Source organism: Homo sapiens, chromosome 11, assembly GCF_000001405.40.
Source record: "Homo sapiens chromosome 11, GRCh38.p14 Primary Assembly".
NCBI lineage: Eukaryota > Metazoa > Chordata > Mammalia > Primates > Hominidae > Homo > Homo sapiens.
In genome coordinates, this window is record NC_000011.10 from 14,007,413 (window position 1) to 14,028,914 (window position 21,502).

A 21,502-nucleotide genomic window follows, 5' to 3' on the forward strand; every position below is an offset into this window, starting at 1 on the left:
AATCCAGCATGGGAGAAAGATGTAGTCTGGGAGGCTAGGCCAGTCTCTCCTTTTCACATTTTCTGCCTGCTTTATATTCATTGACAGCTAATTAGATGGTGCCCACACAGCTGATTAGATGGTGCCCACCCAGATTAAGGGTGGGTCTGCCTTCCCCAGTCCACTGACTCAAATGTTAATCTCCTTTCGCAACACCCTCACAGACACACCCAGGGTCAATACTTTGCATCCTTCAATCCAATCAAGTTGACACTCAGTATTAACCATCACAGGAGGTGAAGCTCAGGCGGTAATGCTGGCTCACCCCGATCTCCTGCTGTGTGGCCCAGCTCCTAACAGGCCACAGACTGGGGGCTGGGGACTCCTGCTCTAGGGACGATTTGTTCCTTGCCTCTTGCGGCTTCTGGTGACTGTCAGCAGGCTTGTGTGTGGCTGCATCACTCTACTCTCTGCCTCCATCCTCACGTGGCCTTCTCCTTGTCTCTGTCTCAAAGCTCCCTCTGCCACTCTCTTTTAAGGATACATATGATTGCATTTAAGGCTTCCAGATAGTCTAGAATAAACATCTCCTCTCAAGATCCTTAAATAAATCATATCTTTTGCCATATAAGGTACTATTCACACTTTCTGGGGATTAGAAGTGAACATGCAGTAGTCCCTTTGTATCTGCAGGTTCTGCATCCACTGATTCAGCCAAAAATATTGGAAAAATAAAAATTAAAAATTAATACAGATTTTAAAAATACAGTATAACAACTATTTACAAAGTATTACATCACATTAGATATTATAAGTAATCTGGAGATGCTTTAAAGTATACAGAAGGAGTATATGGGAGGAGTAGCTGTGGATTTTGATATTCACAGGATGATGCTGGAACCAACCCCCGACAAATACCAAGGAATGATTGTATTTCGCGGGGACATTTTTCTTCCTACCATTTACACTTATGCAGGACCACTGACCTTGGAGGGCCCTTGACCTGCCTGGCAATCTGACCAAATTACTCTGGAAGGCTTGTCCTCCCACTTTCCCTAATGCTGATTCCTTTCATTCCTGACCCACCTATGGGTCACATCACTTTTCCCACATCATTCTCAACAAGTGACCTTGTTGTGTTCTCTATGGGGGGAAAAGAAAAGAAAGAAAAAGAAATCCCTGGACCTGGACCAGAATTTCTTAACTTGTTGCTAAAGTTAATAAACCTACCTGCATCTTTCCTCACTTCTTCTCCTACTAAAATAATGGATCTCTCCATCCCTGTCCTGAGACCATCTCTACTCAGGCTCTGGATACCACTCTCTCCTGCTTCCTCAGGAACCTTAAATGGCCAATCACCCCACCTTTGTTTTGTAGAGTCAGCCTTTTCTTCTTGATAAGGTCCTTCCCTTCAGCTCAAGTTTTAAAACTCTTCCTTCAGGAATTTTCCTTCTTAAAAGAACAATTTAAAAACCTTACAACAAACAAAATTCCACCCCCTGGCCAATCCATCACTAAGTCCTGCTGATGGTACCTTGTAAGTCTTTCTAATTCACCAACTTCTCCCCTTCTCAGCCTGCTATGAGTCCAGTCTGTCATCACATACTCCTGGACGACCATAGTAACCTTTCTGCATCCATTTTTGGCACCTCACAATTGCTCTGTTAAGCTGCCTTCAGTTGTGTGTGATTGGTATGTGAGCTCCATGAGGTCAGGGACTTAGTTCCATTCATGTGTTCCCTGTGTCCTCATCATCTTGAAAAGGGCCAGAAACACAGTAGCTGTTCAATAAATGTTTGTTGAAGGTATTCACATAATTTATCACTAATTTCAGGAGGAAGACAAAGTTCCTTAACAGCCCAAAAGGCCCAGAAAGGCCTGACCCCTACTCATCTCTCCACCTCATCTTGTGTCATCTTCCCTTGTTCCCTGAGCTCTAGACACATTGGTCTTCTATGAACGCTCCCAGTTTTCTCCTGCCCCAGGGTATGTGTAGAGAAATGTTTCCTCATTGTTTAGAACATTCCCCTCTGCCCCAACCCAACTTTTCCTAATAAATACCACTCAGCCTTCAGATCTCAGCTCATATATAGCAAGTTGCTTCCTTGGAAAATCTTTCCTTAGCACCATTATATGCTCTGTTATGTTCTCGTTGCACATATATCTGTCATAGAAATTTCCCAGTAAGAACTGTGTTCATATTTGGTGACTATTTGATTCATGTCTGTCTTAGTCCATTCAGACTGCTATAACAAAATATCTTAGACTCAGTGATTTACAAACAACAGAATTTATTGCTTACAATTCTGGAGGCTGAGCAGTCCAAGATCAAGGCACCAGCAGATTTGTTGTCTGGTAAGGGCCTGTTCCCCATACATGGCACCTTCTTGCTGCATCTTCATGTGGAGGAAGGGTAAGAGAGCTCACTCAGGTCTCTTTTATAAGGACACTAATTCCATTTATGAGGGTGGAGCCCTCATCACTTAATCACTTCCCAAAGGTTCCACCACTTAATACTATCACATTGGCTATTAGATTCAACATAAGAACTTGATGGAGGGGGCTGTCAACATTCAGACTGTATCAATGTCTGTCTTTCCCATCAAATGAGGACAGGGGCCACTATATTCCCAGTGCTTAGCATACTGTCTGACACACAGAGATGCTCAATAGGTATGCACTGCAGGAACAAATGAAGGGATAATGGAATAATGGCAAGGCTGAGATCAGTTGCAGGAGGAGAAGGTTTAGTGGAAGGGTCACAACTCAGTTTTGCCCATGTTGGAGGGCCCCACAGCTAATTCAGCTGGAGAGGTACACTCTTGTTTGGGAATCTGGGCTGGGAGCTAAGGACAGAGGGCAGGCTGGATATCTAGACTTAGGTGGTTGGCAACCCTGTAGTAGATGCAAAAGATGGGCCATATAAGAGGATTCATGTCTAGAGATGAGAGGGGGATGGGATTAAGGGCAGACTGGGAGCTCAGAAAGGAAGACCCACAGATTAAAAAAAGATGAGCTAAGTGTAGAGATGTAAAGGAGGGACGAGGTTGAGGGGCACGTGAAGCAGCAGGTGAGGCCAAGTGAAGGTGAAGGACAGACTGGGGGTAAAATGAGGGATTGGGGAGAATCAGGAAGGTTTAGATTTTCTGAGAGGAAAAAAATCTCCTGCTGGCCTAGGCCAAGCAGGTGACCTGCATGAGTGGAGTGTGTTTACCTGTGTGCATGCTTATACGTGTGTCATAGGGAACACCACACCACTCTCAATGTGACTTCACTTCTCAATAGATTGCCTGGCATCTTTTTACAGCAACCCAAACTCTCTGAGGCAAGTAAGGCAGGTGTAATGATCTTTCTTTTCTAGGTGCAATATTAAGTTGGACTCATATCCTAGGCCAATGCTCTTTCCACCAAACCACACTATTTCACTGGGCTCTAGCCAGCTTGTCCGGAGCTTGAAGACATATTACTGTCTTATTTCAGCATTTCTGTCTACTGCAGATGAAATTGGCCTCCAGCCAGAGAAAAATAAAATGCCCTTGATAAACGGCAATATAGTAGGATCATAGCTTTAGGAAATTGTGATGCTCCTTGTAACATTCCCCGCTTTTTTTCTTTAATGGGGAGTCCTTAAGAATCAATTACATTTTCCTAATTAGTGTGGGTAGTCAGGACAGACCAGAACCAAAATATTATTAATGGAATGTGCCTCCTATCCTCGGCAGCTGAGTTTGGGTAGCACATGCAACCCCAAGGAAGAGCTCAGCCCTCTCCACTCTGTGGGTTTGAATTCAGCTACAGAAGCTCAGAAGAAAGAGCACTGGACTCTACTGAAAACCATGTTTCTACATGAGTTTTCATTCTTCATTCAAATTTTAGCAAATTTTAGGCTTTGTGACTTCTAGGCATGGCCCACTATTGTGTTGGACAATTTTTCAGGTAACCATATAACAAGGTACTGCGGTTCTTATTCTTAGAATCTAAGGAAAGCTATGTACTGTGTCATCAGAAAAATGCACTCACACACACAATTTTGCTTGTATTTCAGGGATTTCTCCAACCTTCTGAGGCCTGTCCATGGCTGACTCCCCCTATAGTTTAGGGGGCCTTCAGTCCACTCATGAGTGGATTCCTACTGCAGCCTCCCAATAGGTCTCTCCTCTTTGCTCTCTGACTTTCCATTCCTCTGCTAAATTAAGAATTTCCTATTGTTCTCAAGTCAGCCCAAATTCTTCTACATGGCTTATGAGGCCCTTCATGATCTGGCAACTAGCTCACATTTCCCCACTGTAGGCACGTAGAGGGAGGGGAGTGAGGGAGGTTTGAGGAGAATGTAACTCAGTGAGGATCTGATGGACAAATAAAAGTTAGAGAGTGGATGAGGATGGAAGAGGAGGAGTGTTGCTTGGAGAGGCCTGGAGGTGAGAGGGAACCCTAAAGAACAAGAAAGGAATATGACATGGGCTTTGGAATACAACATCTCAGATTTGATTCCTGGCTCTCCTGCTTATTAACCAGGTGACCTTGCACAATTCTTCAAACCTCAGTTTCCCTGTGTGTAAAATGGCAGTAATAGTAGCCTCCTCAAAGGAAGGGTGTGAGGGCTGCAATGCATAATGTGTGGAAAGTGCTTAGCAGAGTCCTGGCAGGTAAACAGTGGATGGGTGGGCTGCAGTGAGATACCAACTCTTGGGATGGGATGCCTAGCCATGAAGGCCATGTAGGTCATAGGAGGGAGTTCGTTGACACTTTATCTCCTCTTTACCAGTTGGGACTTGCTGGCCAGCCTTCCAGAGGTCTAACACTGAATGCTGCCAGCCTCTCCTGCTGGCTTCAGGGCCTCCTTGTGTCAAAAGTGATTGCAGCTCCAGACAACTGAGCCCCACTGACAGACACCTCCCATCCTAACACCCACCCTAACCTTTCACCAAAGGCCACAGGACCAAGATGGGAAGGCTGAGACTGTGCCACAGCAGGGCTTCCTATGACCCCAAATGGGGGTCAGCTTTTGACTCTGGTGAGATACATTGGAGAACCAGATTAACACCAGATTCCTCATAGAGCAACTTAGTTATGCCAAGCATATTCTCAGTGGCGACGTGCAAACCGCATTTATCCTATGTGGTAGGGAATGAGACTTTTCTCCATAAATGCATCATCACATACTGCAGCCTTCTAAGTGTTAACCATTTTGTCCACCGATTTGGCAAAAACAGACTCGTCTTTCAAGATTCAGCTCAAAGTCACTTCCTCTGTGAAGCCACTCCTGTTCCTCCTCCCCCATCCCAACACCTAGTAGAAGCCAAGCCCTTCTGAGGCTTCTGATGTCTGCCATTGGGGAGAATTTCCCTTTTATTTCTGCCTCTTTGTCTCCCTCTGCTAGAGTGCAAGTCCTTTGAGGACAAAGCATGTTTTAATCATCTTGGACTCCCCAGGGCCCAGGACAAAAATTGGCTCTCGGTAGTTAATAAGTGTTTGTTGAACAAAAGGATGGCTACATTTTTTGCCCTTTTCCTTCATTATTAAATATTAAATGTTCCTATTTACATATTCTGCCTTACTGAAGAGGTGTTGCTGGTCCCTACACAAAACGGTCCCTGATGACTGTACTCTGATATTTCTTACATTCTTTCCCTGTGAGTCTGTTTCTAACGGCAACCTCATCTTCTAAATGTAATTTCACACATGTTACTAAATCACTTTGCTTCAGCCTGAACCTAGGATGTTGCTTCTCCTTCAGAATAAGATGCCAGCTGGGAATAGAGATCCAGGCAGTCCCAGAAGCCCCATGCTAACAACTTCTGCTAATTCTTAGGCTGATTATGTGGATTATTGAATAGATCGTCTTTCTGCTTTTTATCCTTTAAACTCTCTCTGCTCGGCCTTGTCTGTTTCATCAGTAAAGGTGGGCATGGGGAACATAGAGACTGTGAAATCTAAACCTACTCTACTCCACTTCCATTTGGTCAGGTTTTGGAATAAAAAAATCTACTCTATTAGTAAAGAATTATAGTCATTTTAGAGCCATTCTCTGAGTAAAACTGTCAATTAATAAACTTGGCCATTCTGTTTGGGGAATAAAAGAAAGGAGGAGGGAGTTAAGGAGCTTATTTCCCCCAATTCTCTAACTCACCAATGGGTTTGTGGCTGCAATTGCCTGAAGTCCCATTGACTGTGTTGCCTGCCTATTGAGTAGGATCTTCTGGGGTACATACAACTTAAATGTAGTTTTGAAAGTTGCTTGTCTTTCTCTCAGGTCATATTGCTAATATTGTATACATTGCCAATTGAGCAATCAGTTTACCAACTAGAGGAAATCTGGCTCACTAGATTTACTGAGCACCTGCTGTATACCAGGCTCTAGACTGGGTGCCCTGTCTCCTTGACCTCTAATCTTCACAAGCAATCTAGGAAAAGTGTTATGAACATTTTAGAGATGAAGGAAGAGACTCAGAGAGGTTATTTACTTCTTGCTCAAGCCCATACAGCAATGATTTCCCAAACCTGTAGGGTGTTTCTTCCTTGGGTGTTTTGTAGCGGGGAAAAAGAAAGTCAAAGCCTGTTTCCATTATCGTGGATTTTAGGGAAAGGGGAGTATTAAACATAGTAATCAGAGAAGCCTGGTTCTTCTGAAGCTTCTGACTGTCATCAAATTGGAAGTTAATGCTGGGGGAGAAGCTCTGTGTGAAGGACCCACATACTCCCGTCTCTGGCCCAGCCCAAACTGCCTTGGCTTACCTGAGGCTGCCAGTGACTTCTGGCTCCTAGATCTTCATCTTGCAGCTACGTGGACAAGGTGGGTGCAGCCTGGTGCCTTATGTCTGTGCTGTAGCTTCTTAACAGCAAGTGAGATGGTAGCAGGCATGGAAGGCCATCGGTGGGAAGGGAAAGGAGGGGTTGTCATAGACCAAGGAGGGTGACCACAGCATTCCACAGATTCAAAAATGCCCATTTTTAACATTGTAGCATTTTACAAGTCAGAATGCATCTTACAATTGATATGTACATGAAATGTAGGATTCCTTTTCCAGATAAACTGTTAGTGCATCATTGATACCTCTTATACGCAATGGCATCCTGGATTCAAGGAACTATGGCAGGTTTCATCTTATGTGTCAATTCTGATCAAGTGGTGGAGACTATCTGGAGTTTGGGAGGAGAAAGGTCTGGTGCTATGTCCATGGCAGTGGTGAACAACAATAAACTGAGTGGGGCGTCACTGTGCATGAGAGATGGCATAGAATCCTACTGTCGGGCATTTGCGCCTTCATCCAATATCTTTGGTATTAAATGGAGGAGCACCTGCCATATCTTCAACTGTAAACTAAAGGACACAAAACACAGGAAGCATTTCCAAGGGACCAGGTCAGAGGCCTGCCTCTTCTCATGCAGATTTGTGACTGTGGCCTTTTTAAATACTTTTTTAAAGTATTAATTTAATTATAAAAATAGTACATGCATGCTATAATACAAAGATACAGAGGTACATGAAATTTTAAATGTCTCATTGTATAGATGTTACTATTACTGGCCTTATAGATTTTTACCCTTCTTCTATTGTAAACAAATGTGTCTTTGTGTATGTCTGTGCACGTACACACACACACTTGTCTGTCTATGGAGAAAATCTTAACAGAATTGTGGGCAGGCCTCATTTTTAATGGGCACAACATAGTCTACTTAACCTCTCCCCATTGAGGTTTGGCTCAAAGCTTATTTCTTGTTTCTTATGAGTGTAAATGCTCAGAATAACCTGTATGACCAGTGTCATAGTCCATTCATGCTGCTATAACAAAATACCACAGATTGGGTTATTTATAAAGAATAGAAATGTATTTCTCACAGTCTGGAAGCTGAGAAGTACAAGATCTAGGTGCCAGCAAGTTTAGTGTCTGGTGAGGACTGTTTTCTGCTTCCAAATGGTGCCTTGTTGCATGCTCTGGAGGGGACAAGCACTGTGTCCTCAGGTGGTAGAAGGGATAATATAAGCAGTTTCATCTCTTAAGACCTTTATAAGGTCACTAATCCCATTTATGAGGGCTCTGCCCTCATGACTTAATCACCTCCTAAAGCCTCCACCTCTTAATAGTATCACATTGATTATTACTTTTCAACATATGAATTTTAGGGGACATTCAGACCATAGCCACAAGGAATGCTTTACTTACATTTTAAATTAGTTTATTAAGATGGTTTCCCAGAAACATAAACATGCTTAAGGTTTCTGATAATTTCTGAATTGATATGTCAAAGATGTGGTTGATTGACACTTGTTAACTATGGGTAAATTTAAACTCAGTAACAAAGCTTTTGTGTTTCCATTACCAAAGAACAAGAAACTATTGGAGGTAAGTCATTGTATATTTATGTTGGCTGTTTGGCGATGTCCTTGTTAGGAATGGAGTGAGTCATGCTGCCTGAATGCAGTGTGTCAGAGGCTCAGGGTCTCAGGGACAATATCCAGGCTCTAGGTCACCTTTGACTTTACCTGCCTTATCTGACCGGCTCATAGCAGGCTGGGGTAAGTTCATGTTGCCACGGATTCTAGGAGGGATCTCTGAAGTGTCAAGTACTGCCTTTTCTTCTCATGGTTCAGTGCAGATGGCCGCAGAGGGCAGGATAGTTGATGACTTATTCTCTGGAGTCATCCAATCTTGGGATTAATTCTTTTATATTCATTTGCTGGGAAGGGAAAGGAAGAAAAGGGGAAGAAGCTCTGATGGCAGTTCCCTCTTCCTAGATTCCCTGCTGGTGGTGCCTCAGGAACTTCCTTTCTTTTTGGGTATACCCTCCTTTCTTTCCTTCCTTTCTCAGTGTTTACTATTTGTGGGAGCATGTACTAAGTGCTACGCACTTTACACATGTGATCTCATTTAACTCAATCCATTTAACTGAACTGCCAAGAGGCTAAGTGGCTTACAAAACCAATTCTATGATCTTTACATTTTTACTTGTGCAAACGTGTGAGAAAGTTTAACTGGTGAAACATCTGTCAGGTGAAGACTGATGTGCTTTCTATGGGTCAGCAAGAAGGCAGAAGTATATCCATCTAAGTATACATTTATATCAAAATAATTTATTTGGACCCATGTAACTATAGCATTGATTATTGTTTTCTAAATTTGATTAGCAGTCAACTGAACATACTATTCGTTTATTGCAATTGGGTACTTTAAAACAAGTTCTCAGAGTAAGGGTTTTTTTTCTGTTATATTTTTATACTCACATTAAAAAAAGAAATATATACCCAATCTTGTTCAAAAAGAATTTAGGATAGCTCATATCTGGTTTAATCTAAAATTAATACTTTAAAAATGGAATTTTAAAATGATAATTTTAGTAGTGTTTTGGAGACTAAAATTGGGAAAGTCAAGAAGCTGGCTGTTGACTCACACTATTGGTTTCACATTGCAGAAGATAATGTGCCATTTTTTTCATTTCAATTCAGGCAACGCTTCCTGATCACCTACTAAGTGCTGGGCACTGCATGTGGCCAGTAAGACCTCCATGTGTTGCACAGTAGCTGACAGCAGATCAGCAGACTTTTGCTACCAGGATGGGCACAGGGCACTCTAACTTTGCAAAGCAGCCTTTAGGGCCTCTTTTCAGGTGCCCAGAGATTGCTACGGTGTAAGGGAAACTTTTGTATGTTCCAGGGCTGGTGTCAGGCCCATTTTCATTGGCAATGACCTTCCTGGCATATGCTGCATTTTCCTATGTTGGTGAGAAATTTAATTTTACTCTCCAGAGGTATTAGGGAAAATATTACAAACCACTTTTCAAGTTGAGGTTGAACAAATGACCAGGTATAACTGGTTCAGGACCCCAAAATAATGTCATTGTTTCTTTAAGCATTGTCATTGAGTTGAAAGCCATGGAGGTCACAAATAAAAAGAGTTAGGCTCATATTCTAAAGATCCCCAGCTCTTTAATTTAAAAAAAAATCAGTGTCAAAATGTTTTGTTTTAATTACATCATTGTTTTCAGACTATGCTTTAAAGAATTTTAAAATTAGCTTAGTTTTTTAGTAATCTATGAATAAAGCTTCTCTTCTCGTGTGCCTGCCTTAGAGATGGACTGACTTTTTTGCAAAATGCAGCTTTTATTCTTAGAGAACTTAGTAGTGCTTAAACTGTGTTCATATTCATCCTGTCATTTGAGCTCTGTGACAGCCTTGTGATGGAGACAGAACTGGATTCTTACCCAAATTTTACAGATGAAAAGTTAGAGGTTGAACAACTTGCCTAAGGCCACCTTGCCTAAAGTAGCAGGGCCATTTGAGCCCTAGTTCAGGCATATTTCATTGGGCACACTGTCTTTCCAAATATTTGCAAAATTGGACGCTTGAATAGAAGACCTTCACCAAAACTCTGCTTACTATTTGGCTATTTCAAAAGTTAATTGTTGGATTTGCTGGGACTACCTAAGTGTCTTGAAAAATATGTGCATTCTGATAATGGATGCAATACATCAACTAAGTATTTTTAGGCCCCTTGTGTTTTTACACTTGTTACATCTTTGTAATGTATTGATCAAACTAATGAGTCGGACTATTTGGAATGAGCAGCTCAGTATTATTTAATGCTGCATTTCTTGTATTTTATTGATCACTTGCCTGATTAATTAACTTATACTATACTTGGTTTTAAGAAGACTTTGCTGGAGCTACTGAACAATTCTTTAGCTCACTTTTCTTATGAAATAACCATGGAACAAGGTACTATTTAGAGTCTTTGGGTCTTGTTGCGAATTTGTGGGTAGAAAATGTAAGATATATTTCAATACATGGATATAATCCATTTACAAGTAGCTAGACGGCCTTTGTTCAAATTTGACCACCTTTCAGACAATGAGCTTCACCTCTCAACTCTGCAGGAAGCCCTTAGTAGGTCCCAAATGGAAATAGGATCTACTCTGTCATAACTATCAAGCCTGAGATCTTAAGGCATCCAGGTAGTCACTTAGGAATGAAGAGGCAAGGATAGATTCAAACAACATTTCAGAGGTAGAAATTGGCTTGTTCAGTTTAGAAATGACATGGAAATTTCTAGTTTAATGATGCCAGTAACTGAGAGACCAACGGAGGGGCAGGGGCTGAAGGAAGGGGCTGGATTGAGTTTGAAATATTGTATCCTTCTCCTGAGGAGGTTATAACTTGGTTTGGGAATGTGGAGTTGACATGGATGAGAAAAGATAAGTAAACAAATGACTAAACTGCAGTATGATAAGGCCAGAGACAGAGATCTGCAGAGCATGCTGGGAGAACAATTTGTGGAGGTTGAGAAGTCAGAAAAAGCCTCCTAGTGGGCCTGACACATGGGCTACATTGTAGAAGAATTAATTAGGGAGAGTGTAGCACAGGGCATTCAATGCAGTAAAGGCAGTCTATACAAAGGCTCCAACGGTACAACAAGAGCCAGTAGACCAGGCAAGTTCAGTGGGCTGGAGGTTTTAGGATGGTTGAAAGATTTGAAAAGAAGCAGCAGCTTAGTCATGAAGAGCCTGGTAATAGCAGCCAGCACTTGTAAGCATTTACTGCAAGCCAGGCATCGCAGAATAGTTCAGAATATGTTTAGAAGGTAGAATTGTCAGTATGTGGTGACCAGTTGGACATGGGGTAGAAAAGAGAAGTACAAGTCCAAAGAGAGTCCCAAGTTTCTGCCTTGACCAAGACAGAGTTTGAATGAGGAGCCTATTTATGAGGGAGAAGGCTGATGAGCTCCATTTGGGACCTGTACAATTCAAGGTTCCTTTAGTCATCCATAGTATTTGGATGTATGGAGTCTGAGACCAGACTGCCCCGGTTTGAATCCTAGCTCAGCCACTTAGGAGACTTATGACCATGGGTAAGTTACTTAATCCCTCTGTGCCTCAGTTCAGTTTTCTCACTAATAAGATGGGAATAATGGCACTTAACCTTATAGAGTAGTTGTGATATTTAAATTTTACATAAAATTATGTATATTAATTATATATTATACGTAATTTTATAATGTGTATAATTATATAAATATACAATGTATATAAAATTGTATATGATTATATATATAATTTAGGTTCTAGATCATAACAGGCACTTGATAACTTATTGTTATTAATTATTATCATTATATAGTTCTGAGACTCAAGGACCTGGGTTGACACCATCAAGGTAGAGTATTATATATGATCATTATGTATGATCATTATGTATCTCTTAGGAGGTATTTGGCTATAAGAAACAGAAAATCCAATCATGGCTTTTATCATGGGTTCTTTTATTGTTTAGCAAGGAGTTTGGAGATAAATGGCTTCCACATTCTTTTAGCAGCTCAGTGACATCAGGTCCCTGGACTAGTAGCTCTGTGATTCACTCAGCCTTTCTCTTCTATTCCATAAAATGGCTGTGCTAGCTCCTCCGGTTCATAAATTGGCCACACTAGCTCAAAGCATGTCACCCTCACCAACAGTGTTCTAAATAGGAGAGAAGGAGGATAGTGGGGGAAAACACTCTCCTCATAGGCCACTACCCCTTTTGTCAGAGAGGAAAATCCCAGAAGCCTCCTGGCTGATGTTTCTGTACCTCTCATTAGCCAAAAGCAGGTCACATGGTCACCTGAAACTCAAGGAAAGGAACAGGATAGCCATAATTGGTTTAGACCAGTCATGATTCAATCTCTGGGGTTGGACACTGTAAATCCTAAACAAATAGGGTCTTTTAGCAAAAGAGAAGGAGGGAATGGCTGTTGGGCCAGTAATTAAGAATGTGCACCACTCTAGGGAGGGAGGACATTTAGAGAAGAGGACAAGAGGAGAACCCAGGACTCCATGACATTCATAGGTCTTATAGGGAACAGGGGCCAGGGAAGAGATTTCAAATGCCAAGGAAATAGGAGAAGAAATCCAGAGAAGCACCCCAAAGGGAAGAGCTGGGGGAGAGGCAAGTCTACAGGGGTACATCTGGCAGAGCTTTGAGCAGAATGAGGCTGTAAAAAGCTGTCAGAGTTGGCAGTGAGGAGGTCAGAGTGACCATTGCCAGTGCAGATTCAGTGATGCCAAGGGTTAAGAAGAGAATGGTGATCTCTATCATATGCAGTTGGTAGGCGTGCAAATTAATCCAAAATTTGTATTAGTTTGGCACTGTGTGCCAAAATTTAAAATGCTCATACCCTTTAACTCTGAAATTTCACTTCTAGGAATTAATTCAACTGGCCAATTTAGACAAGTGGAGGCTGATGTAAGTACGAGGATGTTGATTGCAGCCTTGTTTGTTATAGCAAAACAAAAAAAGAGGGGTGATTGATCTGATCTGAAAGCCCATCATATAGGATTAATTATAATAAATGGTAGTACATCTTGGCAGTGGAATACCAGGAACAGTAGAAAAGAACTGAAGTTCTGGAGTCCCACAGCCAGGGTTTAAATTCTGGTTCTGCCATTTACCAGCTGTGTGACCTCAGCTCTCTGTGAACATTTCTGGGACTCAGTTTCTTTAGCTGTAAAATGGGATAATTATAATACTAACTCATAGAGCTATAGTGAGGAATAAGGATGCAGATATAAGTGAAATACACTGAATATTTCTGGCACAGATTATTATGCAGTAATTTAAAAAGATTTGGCAGATTTACATGTATGTTTAAAAGATTGTTTATAAGATGTTAAGAGAAAGAAATGAGGTTACAGAATATCACGATATAATGATCCAACAGGTGGTTTTATCTGGGAGGTAAAATCCTGGGCACAATTCACTTTCTACTTTATACCTATTTGTATTTTTTACCTTTAAAACAAGGCATTTAATGTCTTATTCACCTGGCCAATTATAAGCCACAGGAGGGAAGCTACCATTTCTGTTTTGTTCACCACAGTATATCATAATATCTGGCATATTACAAGCAGATGATAAATATGTGTTGAATGAGTGTATGAAAAAATAGTAAGTTGTGTTTAGAAGGAAATTCCATAGGCCAAGAGTTCAAAGATGCAGTAGTTCTGCACCAACAAGTCCCCGGGTAGACCTCAGGGACAAGGCTGCAGAAATGAAGCAGAAGTCAGGGCTGAGGGTTGTATATTGGTCTTCAGTATGAATGCCTCAGCTTCTGAAACAGCTCAGGTTGCAAAACCTGAGGAAGAAGAGGGAAAACAAGCCCCAAAGCACCAGGATCCAGTCCCTGGTTTTGTTCAGCACTTCCCAAACAGGCTGAATCTGAGAGCCAAATCACATTTTAGAATTGCAGGGCATTTTGGTGCCATTGAGTCATTTCAACTTCAGAAAACCCAAGGCCCTGGAAGGAGGAGTTCTCCAAGTTCCTACAAGACCTGAGACGACCCTGCCCTGTGTTTCCCAATTCCTGCTCTAGTGCTGGCTCCTTCTTCCAAGGACTGAACATTGTAGATTTCTGATACACACGAAGTTGTTTTCAGAGGATGTCCATTCATTTGACTCCTAAGAAACCCAGTTCTCTTAAGCACAATTCAATGGCTTGCGTCTCTAAAGTTCACTGATCACCCATCGCTCTTGCTCTTTATTTGTAAAGAACAAAGGGACCAGGGATGTAATTAACTCACCCACATTTCCCATTGTCCTTAAGTCTTTTGTGCAAGCATTGATTGTTGTTTTTATTGTTGAAAGCAGAATTGTTCTCCTGGCAACACACATCCAGAAAGAGAGCCCAGTGAGGGACTCAGCAGGTGATGCTGTTGAAGTTTGACCTTACCGTTTGGAAGAATAAAAGAAAAAGCCAAAAAAAGCAATAATTGAGCAGAGGGTCGTTATGAATTGGTTACTATTCTATACTATTAAATGCTTTGGGAGAAAAGACATTTGGTTATTTTTAAGTGCATTTAGGAATTCAGAATATCAGCCAGCTGAGCTCCCAAGTACAGGTCCTCAGGGGATTCAGTTTAATGAATCTTTAAGAGCAGCCTGTTGTTAACATATTACAATTAGCACAGGTAAATGGAGGATTCGAATGTGCTTCTGGCAAATAATCTGTTCTCACTTTTATATCTTAGTCATTACTTACTCATACATTGATGTTTACTCTGAGGTTGTTTTGCTGGGAAGAAAGGATACACTTAGCAAAGCAAGATGATATGGCAGAAGAGAGCTTGAGATTTGGGATCTAAATATGACCGGGTGGAATATTGGCTCTGTTCATTAGTACAGTCGTGTGGTCCTCAGGAAATTGCTGAAATCCTCTGAATCTGTTTCCTCCTCTATAAAATGGGGATTATAAAACCTGTTTCAGTGGATTGTTCAGCTGATTCAACCAAATCATGTTAAAAGGGCTGCTGCATAGCTCAATAAACTTTAGCTTCTTTCCCTCAAAGTTAAGCTTTTCTTCCCTGTTCATCTAAAAAATCAAGCAATGAATTACTGAAACCTTTTCATAGGGAAGAGAAGGCAATGTTTTGGGTTCTTTACCCACATTTTGCCCATACATTCGACTTTATCCAAAGAACGCTTTGAGTTGCTGCAACCACCTGCACGCTGAGAAGACAAAGGTGAGGAGTAGGGTTAAAAGCAGGTTCATGTAGGTTCAACTGGAAAACCAGCTGCCACGGAAGCCTCAGGCATATCTAAATTTGTTCCTCCCTCTTTTCCTTCCTAACTCCTTAAGGTTTGTGGGCGGGATCATGTAGGATGACGACAGCCAAAGGGAACCATCCAAGGCTCTGAGGTGGAGGGAGCTCTGCTTGTTTAAGGAACTGGAGCTCGGTGGGTGAGACAAATGGTGGCAGGAGATGATGCCTGAGAAGTTGGCAGGGACCAGATTAGGTGGGGAATTGCAAGCTGGCATTATAAAGTTTGGATTTTAAGTGTAATGGAAAGCCACTGGAAGTCTTTAAACAGGGAAGTGACATGATTTATTATTTTAAATGTGCGCTCTGGCTTCTGTGGGAAGATTGGATTGTAGGGGCTAAGTATGGAAGCAGAGAGATAAGTTAGAAGGTTGTTGCAGTGGTTTATTGAGTTTGGGTGCTTTAGGGTGCTGGAGAGAAATACTGTGAAGGTAAAACTGACAGGCAGTCAAAGGTGAGGCTTAAATGAAATAACATAAATGAAGTGCCAAGTGTGTAGTAGATAATTAACAACACAAGTTCCCTCTCTTCGTGCTACAACTATATCAACAAAGTGATGTTTTTCTCTGGAATTGGATATAGGGAGATGATAAATTAATAACCACATTTTCTCAGCTATGGATTTGTTCTTTGGAGGTGGGCTGACTGGGAGATGGAGGTCAGCTTTTGCAGATCACAGCCTGCCAACTGGGAACACTTGCGAAAGGAAGAAATAATAGAAGCAGGAAGCAGGAAAGGAGGGAAGAGCAGTATGGAAAAAAGACTGGGCCAGGTGCGGTGGCTCACGCCTGTAATCCCAGCACTTTGGGAGGCTGAGGTGGGCAGATCATGAGGTCAAGAGTGCAAGACCGGCCTGACCAACATGGTGAAACCCCATCTCTACTAAGAAAACAAAAATTAGCTGGGCGTAGTGGTGGGCGCCTGTAATCCCAGCTACTTGGGAGGCTGAGGCAGGAGAATCACTTGAACCCGGGAGGCCGAGGTTGGAGTGAGCCAAGATTGGGCCACTGCACTCCAGCCTCGGTGACAGTGCGAGACTCCATCTCAAAGAAAAAAAAAAAAGACTGGAAGGAGCAATTTGGGGACCTTATCTCCCTCACAAGGCATGTGACAGTGGTATGGCTTGGCTGCTTCAGTGCCCTAGTACTCAAACCCCTAAAGGGAGAATGCAGATGGACAGGTGCAGAGGTCATGGGGAGCACTTTTGGGCTTCAACCCCACGGCAGTATCTTGGGGTGAGTGCTTACGACTCTTGAAGCCCCAGTGGGTGTGTGTTACAGTGTGCTCTTTCTGCTTTGCCATCTGCAGGTGGCTTGTGTTAATCAGCTCAAGTAGACCCTCTGCCTTATCGCAAGAGCAGAGGGCTTTCTGTATCCTGAGTTCTTGCCCAGTGTACCAGAAAAATTTGATCACAGGTGGGCTTGGTGCAAGGTTCTGTTGAGTGGTGGAGGTGGCGCTCAGCAAGATGGATGGGGGGCCAGAAGAGGGATGGAGTGGGAAGGTGGTCTTCCCCTGGAGTCAGGCTACCCAGTGGCAGACTGTCCTCTGATGGCCCCTGGCTGAACTCCCCTCAGAGTCCGCATTGTTCCACCATCGCTGGTCTGCCAGTGTCTGCTGGTGTGGTCCTCTGCTCCTCCGATGTCTAGCCGCTTGTGTGTGTGCCTGCTAAGGTCTCGGGTTTATATGGGCACAGGATGGGGGGCATGGCTGGCCAGAGTGGTCTTGGAAAATGCAACATTTGGGCACAAAAACAAGAGTGCCTGTTCTCTCTTAGGTCCATGGGCACAGGCCCAAGGGTGGAGCCCCTGCCAGGGACCCCACTCTTCTCTACCCAGGGCTTCCCTGCCCTACTTCCGCATCACTGAGAAATGTGAGGACATTGGTGTGTGTGGAAGGTGCTGGCATAACAGCTGGAGTTGCATCCTTCAAGTGACAATATAGGTATATCAGGGCAGTCTGCTATGATTAGAACTGAAAAGAATCTGGAGGCCATATCATCTGAATTCCTCATTTTAGGAAACTGATCTCTAGAGAGAAAAAGTGACTTGGGCAAAGCCACAGAGATAATGGCAGAGGCAGGGCTGGTAGCAAACTAGAGTGGGAAGAGATTGAGTTTTAAAGTAAGAGACTGGGGGTGCAGTCATTTATTCAGCAAACATGTACCAAGCTCCTGTTCCATGTCAGACCCAAGTCTAGGCACCGGGAACACAGTCAAATAAAACAGACAAGGCTCCTGCCCCCATGGAGCTTACATTCTCATTCCTCCTCTTACAGACTCTTCTGAGACTACCATGGCAGTCCACCTAGTTTGCCTTCATGAATCGATTTCCTCTTCTCTAAAAAGGGAGTAGCAATACCTCTTTAATTTTAATTAATTCATTTATTCATTCTACAAATATTGATCAAGTATATATGATGTGCCAGGCACAATGCTAGGTGCTGGTGACCCAAAAGTAAGCAAGGTAGAACCAGCCCCTGCTTTCAGATATGACGAACTAGAGGCAAGATGGTTGTCATCTTAAATGTCCATCAAAATCACCTGAAGCCCTTAGGAGGTCACTGCTGCCCTGGCCCCATGCCTGGAGCTGTCGATTCCACTGCTCTGGGGTGGGGCTAGGCATCACTATTTTCACAAACCTTCCAGGTGGTTCTTATAGGGGTGGGGTGAAGAAGTGCTGGAGAGGCAAAGATAAAGGGTCATGCGGGTGGTGGTTTGGCAGGTGGAGGGTGCAGCCTATCAGACCTGGGTTCTTGGGGCTGGGAAATGCTTCCCAGAGGAAGTGACTCATCAGGTGAGACCATGAGTAGGACTAGTCCAGGAACAAGAAGTGGGAGCAGTGTCTGGGAAGGCCAGAGCCCCCAGAGGTTGCTCTGAGGGTAAAAGGGGTAACAGAGGTGGACCATAGTCCGTGGTCAGAGACAAGAACTATGCCATTGTTCCTTTGCCTGTTTCTCTCTCTTTGTTCTTTCCAGCCCCACTCCCTTCCTGTTATGTTCTTTATCCTACAATACACCATACTGACAGCACAACAGCTGATTCTCCAGCTCCTAATAATTATCTGAAAGAGCTTCCTCCTGTCATCCATCTCATGTCCACTGCTTCTCTGCAAGGCAGGAGCCAGCCTCCGGCTCCCTTCCCACAGCTTCCAGCTCAATTGCCTCCCTACAGCAGAGGGAAATGCTCTCTTTGCTGCATGATTTGATCAGTGTATTCCCCCCAACCCTCCACCTTCAGGTGCACAAAGACAAAATGCATTCTCTTCAGATATTTGATTTGTTTTGCAAGTAAGTGCTCAGTACCCACCAGCTGATAACCACATTGGATGTGTTTGACAAATAGTCCTTGAGTGTTACCATAAATCTATAACTTGATGAGAGATTCTTATTGTCAAAATATAATTAGATCAAAGTTTGGTATTTCCCAAGGGTGTAAGGAAGTTCATGGATGTGTACCATATTCAGTAAGATATACATCTGTGCATGATGTCTGCCATTGTCACTCTAAAACAAGAGGGAAATCTGACATGCTTTTACGTCCTAAAGAAGGAAGATATTCAGTGACTTGTTTAAGTCTCTTCTGAAATAACCCTCAGCAGAGCCTGAGTTTATTCTCAAGGCGAGGGGGTGGGGGAAACGGGGTGCACAAACAGTTTTGATCCCATGCCGATGTCTGCTGACTTACGCAGAGAATACAACAAGCTTCAGGGTTAAGGAAAGGATAACAGGGAGGTTGAGAAAGAAAAATCAGTCTGCTGGAAATGTCATTGTCTTAAGCGAGGGTGGAGGAGAGTTGGAGAGTCCTTCTCTTCTATGTATAATCTTCTCAATGCATTGTAAAATGTTTTAAAGGGATTATATTATTTCTCCTGCCTGTGAGGTTACCCCAACTTGTCTCCTCCTCTCTCCCCATTTTTCCCATTTTTGGCTCTTTTGACATGTAAGTGAGACCAGAAACAAAGGCTGTCATCTCATCCAGGCAGCCATTTGTCCACACTTACCAGTAAACTGAATTTGCCAAGAACTCCCACTCTGCAGTCTCTGGGAGAGGCAAGATGATAAGCTTGTGCCTCTGATAAAGCCTGCAGCCTGGGATGATCTGGGCTGAGTGGGGAGACTGAATCCATGGGAAACTGCATCCCTTGAGGAGACTCGTCTGGACTTCTCTCTGCCGGGAGGCACTGGCGTTGTAAGAAATGAAGGAATGGGGTCAGGGGTGGGGAGCATCCACAACTCAGATGTTTAAAGAGCCAGAGCTGCAAACAAAATCTGGCTAGGAACAGTTTTCTTCGACTGACCTCACTAGATGCCTCTTTCCAAAATTCCAAGCCCTCTTGGGGCACACGGGGTCTTTCTGGAAGTTGGTGATGTCGTGGAAAGGTCACTAGGTTTGGATCCAAACTGCCTAGTATGAGTTTACCATGAGCTTCAATAATCTGATCAAGTTCCAACATTCCTCTGAGCTTCAGTTGCTTCTGTGAGATGGAAAACACCATCCCTTCTCAGGACTGTCAGGGACTTTAAATGAGCTGACATAGTTAATACAAATAAACCACCAGCACAGTGACTGGGACACAGAAGGACCTCAGCAAACTGAGTTTTTGCTCCTTTTTCCTTTGCTAAATGAAATCAAACCATTGCAAACCCCATTAGTGTATAAGAGACATTCATTTGTCCATCCCTGAAGGTGTAAGCACAATATAAAAAGGCTTCCCAAACTACTCAGGCGGAGCAGGATAGAGAGATGTATGTTTTGCTGAGCTGATCATAAATCTGAATGAAGTAATTATGTAAAGTATTCAAGAGCAATTCAGTAAGAAGATGCCTCATCTGCCTTGATGGGCTTTTCAATTACTCATTTTTAGTACTGCATTATACTGTTCTCTGGCAATAATTATTAAACATTTCAACTGTACTGCTATATAAAACTTAAAAGGCTGATTTATTTCCTAGGCATTAGACTACATTGAATAAAATCCCCCAATTACATGGTTCTATTTTTTAAAACCTGTTTATCAGTGATTTTCTAGTATTGAGTCAAAACTGACAGCAGGTCCTCATGTGAAAAATAAGGGTACAGTGTGTTAAATCCAGCGGTTATTAGCTTTGGGGTCATGGAGGATATTAATACAGACCCCCTACTTGCTAGTCCCAGTTTCTGAATCTGTAAAATGGGGATAATTCCCACTTCACTGGATTATTGTTTGAAATAATGGATACAAAGTGTTAGCAAGAATGTAGAGTCTGTGCCAGGTTTGGTGGCTCACACCTGTAATCTCAGCTCTTTGGGAGGCTGAGGCAGGAGGATTGCTTGAACCCAGGAGTTTGAGACCAACCTGGGCAACATAGACCTCATCTCTACAAAATATAAAAAATAAAAAATATTACCTCGGCATGGTGGCGTGTGCCTGTGGTCCTAGCTACTAGATAGGATTGCTTGAGTCCAGGAGTTCAAGGTTATAGTGAGCTATGATCTTGTCACTTCACTCTAGCCGGGGCACAGAGTGAGACCCTGTCTCAAAAATAAATAAAAATAAAATTTTAAAAAAGAATATAGGGTATTTACTTATTAAACACTAGATATTCTGAGATTCACTGGCATTTACATATAGCCAGTGAGAATCTTCCCACTTATTCAGTGTATATGCATCAATCACCTACTAGGCTCTAGGCACTCAAGATGCCACCAGGGCCCATTCTCTGATTGTCACTTCAATGACTCAAAGTCATGGTCATCAAGCATCTAGCAGCTCCAGGTCCCCTTCTGGGCTCTGTACACAGGACATCTTTCATCATGTGTAGCCATTTTCCACATAAGGATGTGTACTCACAGAGAGTTGGGTGACTTTACTCAAGGTCATTCAGTAGCTAAGGCAGAAATCAGACCTATGTCTGCTGGCTCCAAAGTCCACATCTTCTCTCCCCACTACCCCATGCTACCTCTCAGGATTCCAGGAGCACA

General features: G+C 42.8%; 1 protein-coding gene across 1 annotated transcript in view, besides 1 other annotated feature; it reads left to right on the forward strand.

Moving 5' to 3' along the window:
* Positions 1-21,502, forward strand: part of SPON1 (spondin 1) — a 305,411-nt gene that overhangs the window by 44,690 nt on the left and 239,219 nt on the right. The gene's annotated exons all lie outside the window — the stretch shown is intronic.
* Positions 14,273-14,780: an enhancer, noted in NCBI's record as "NANOG hESC enhancer chr11:14043232-14043739 (GRCh37/hg19 assembly coordinates)". NCBI's record gives its function as "activates a minimal SCP1, AML or CMV promoter by ChIP-STARR-seq in primed H9 embryonic stem cells {active_cell/tissue: H9 hESC(primed)}" and the evidence as "EXISTENCE:reporter gene assay evidence [ECO:0000049][PMID:30033119]".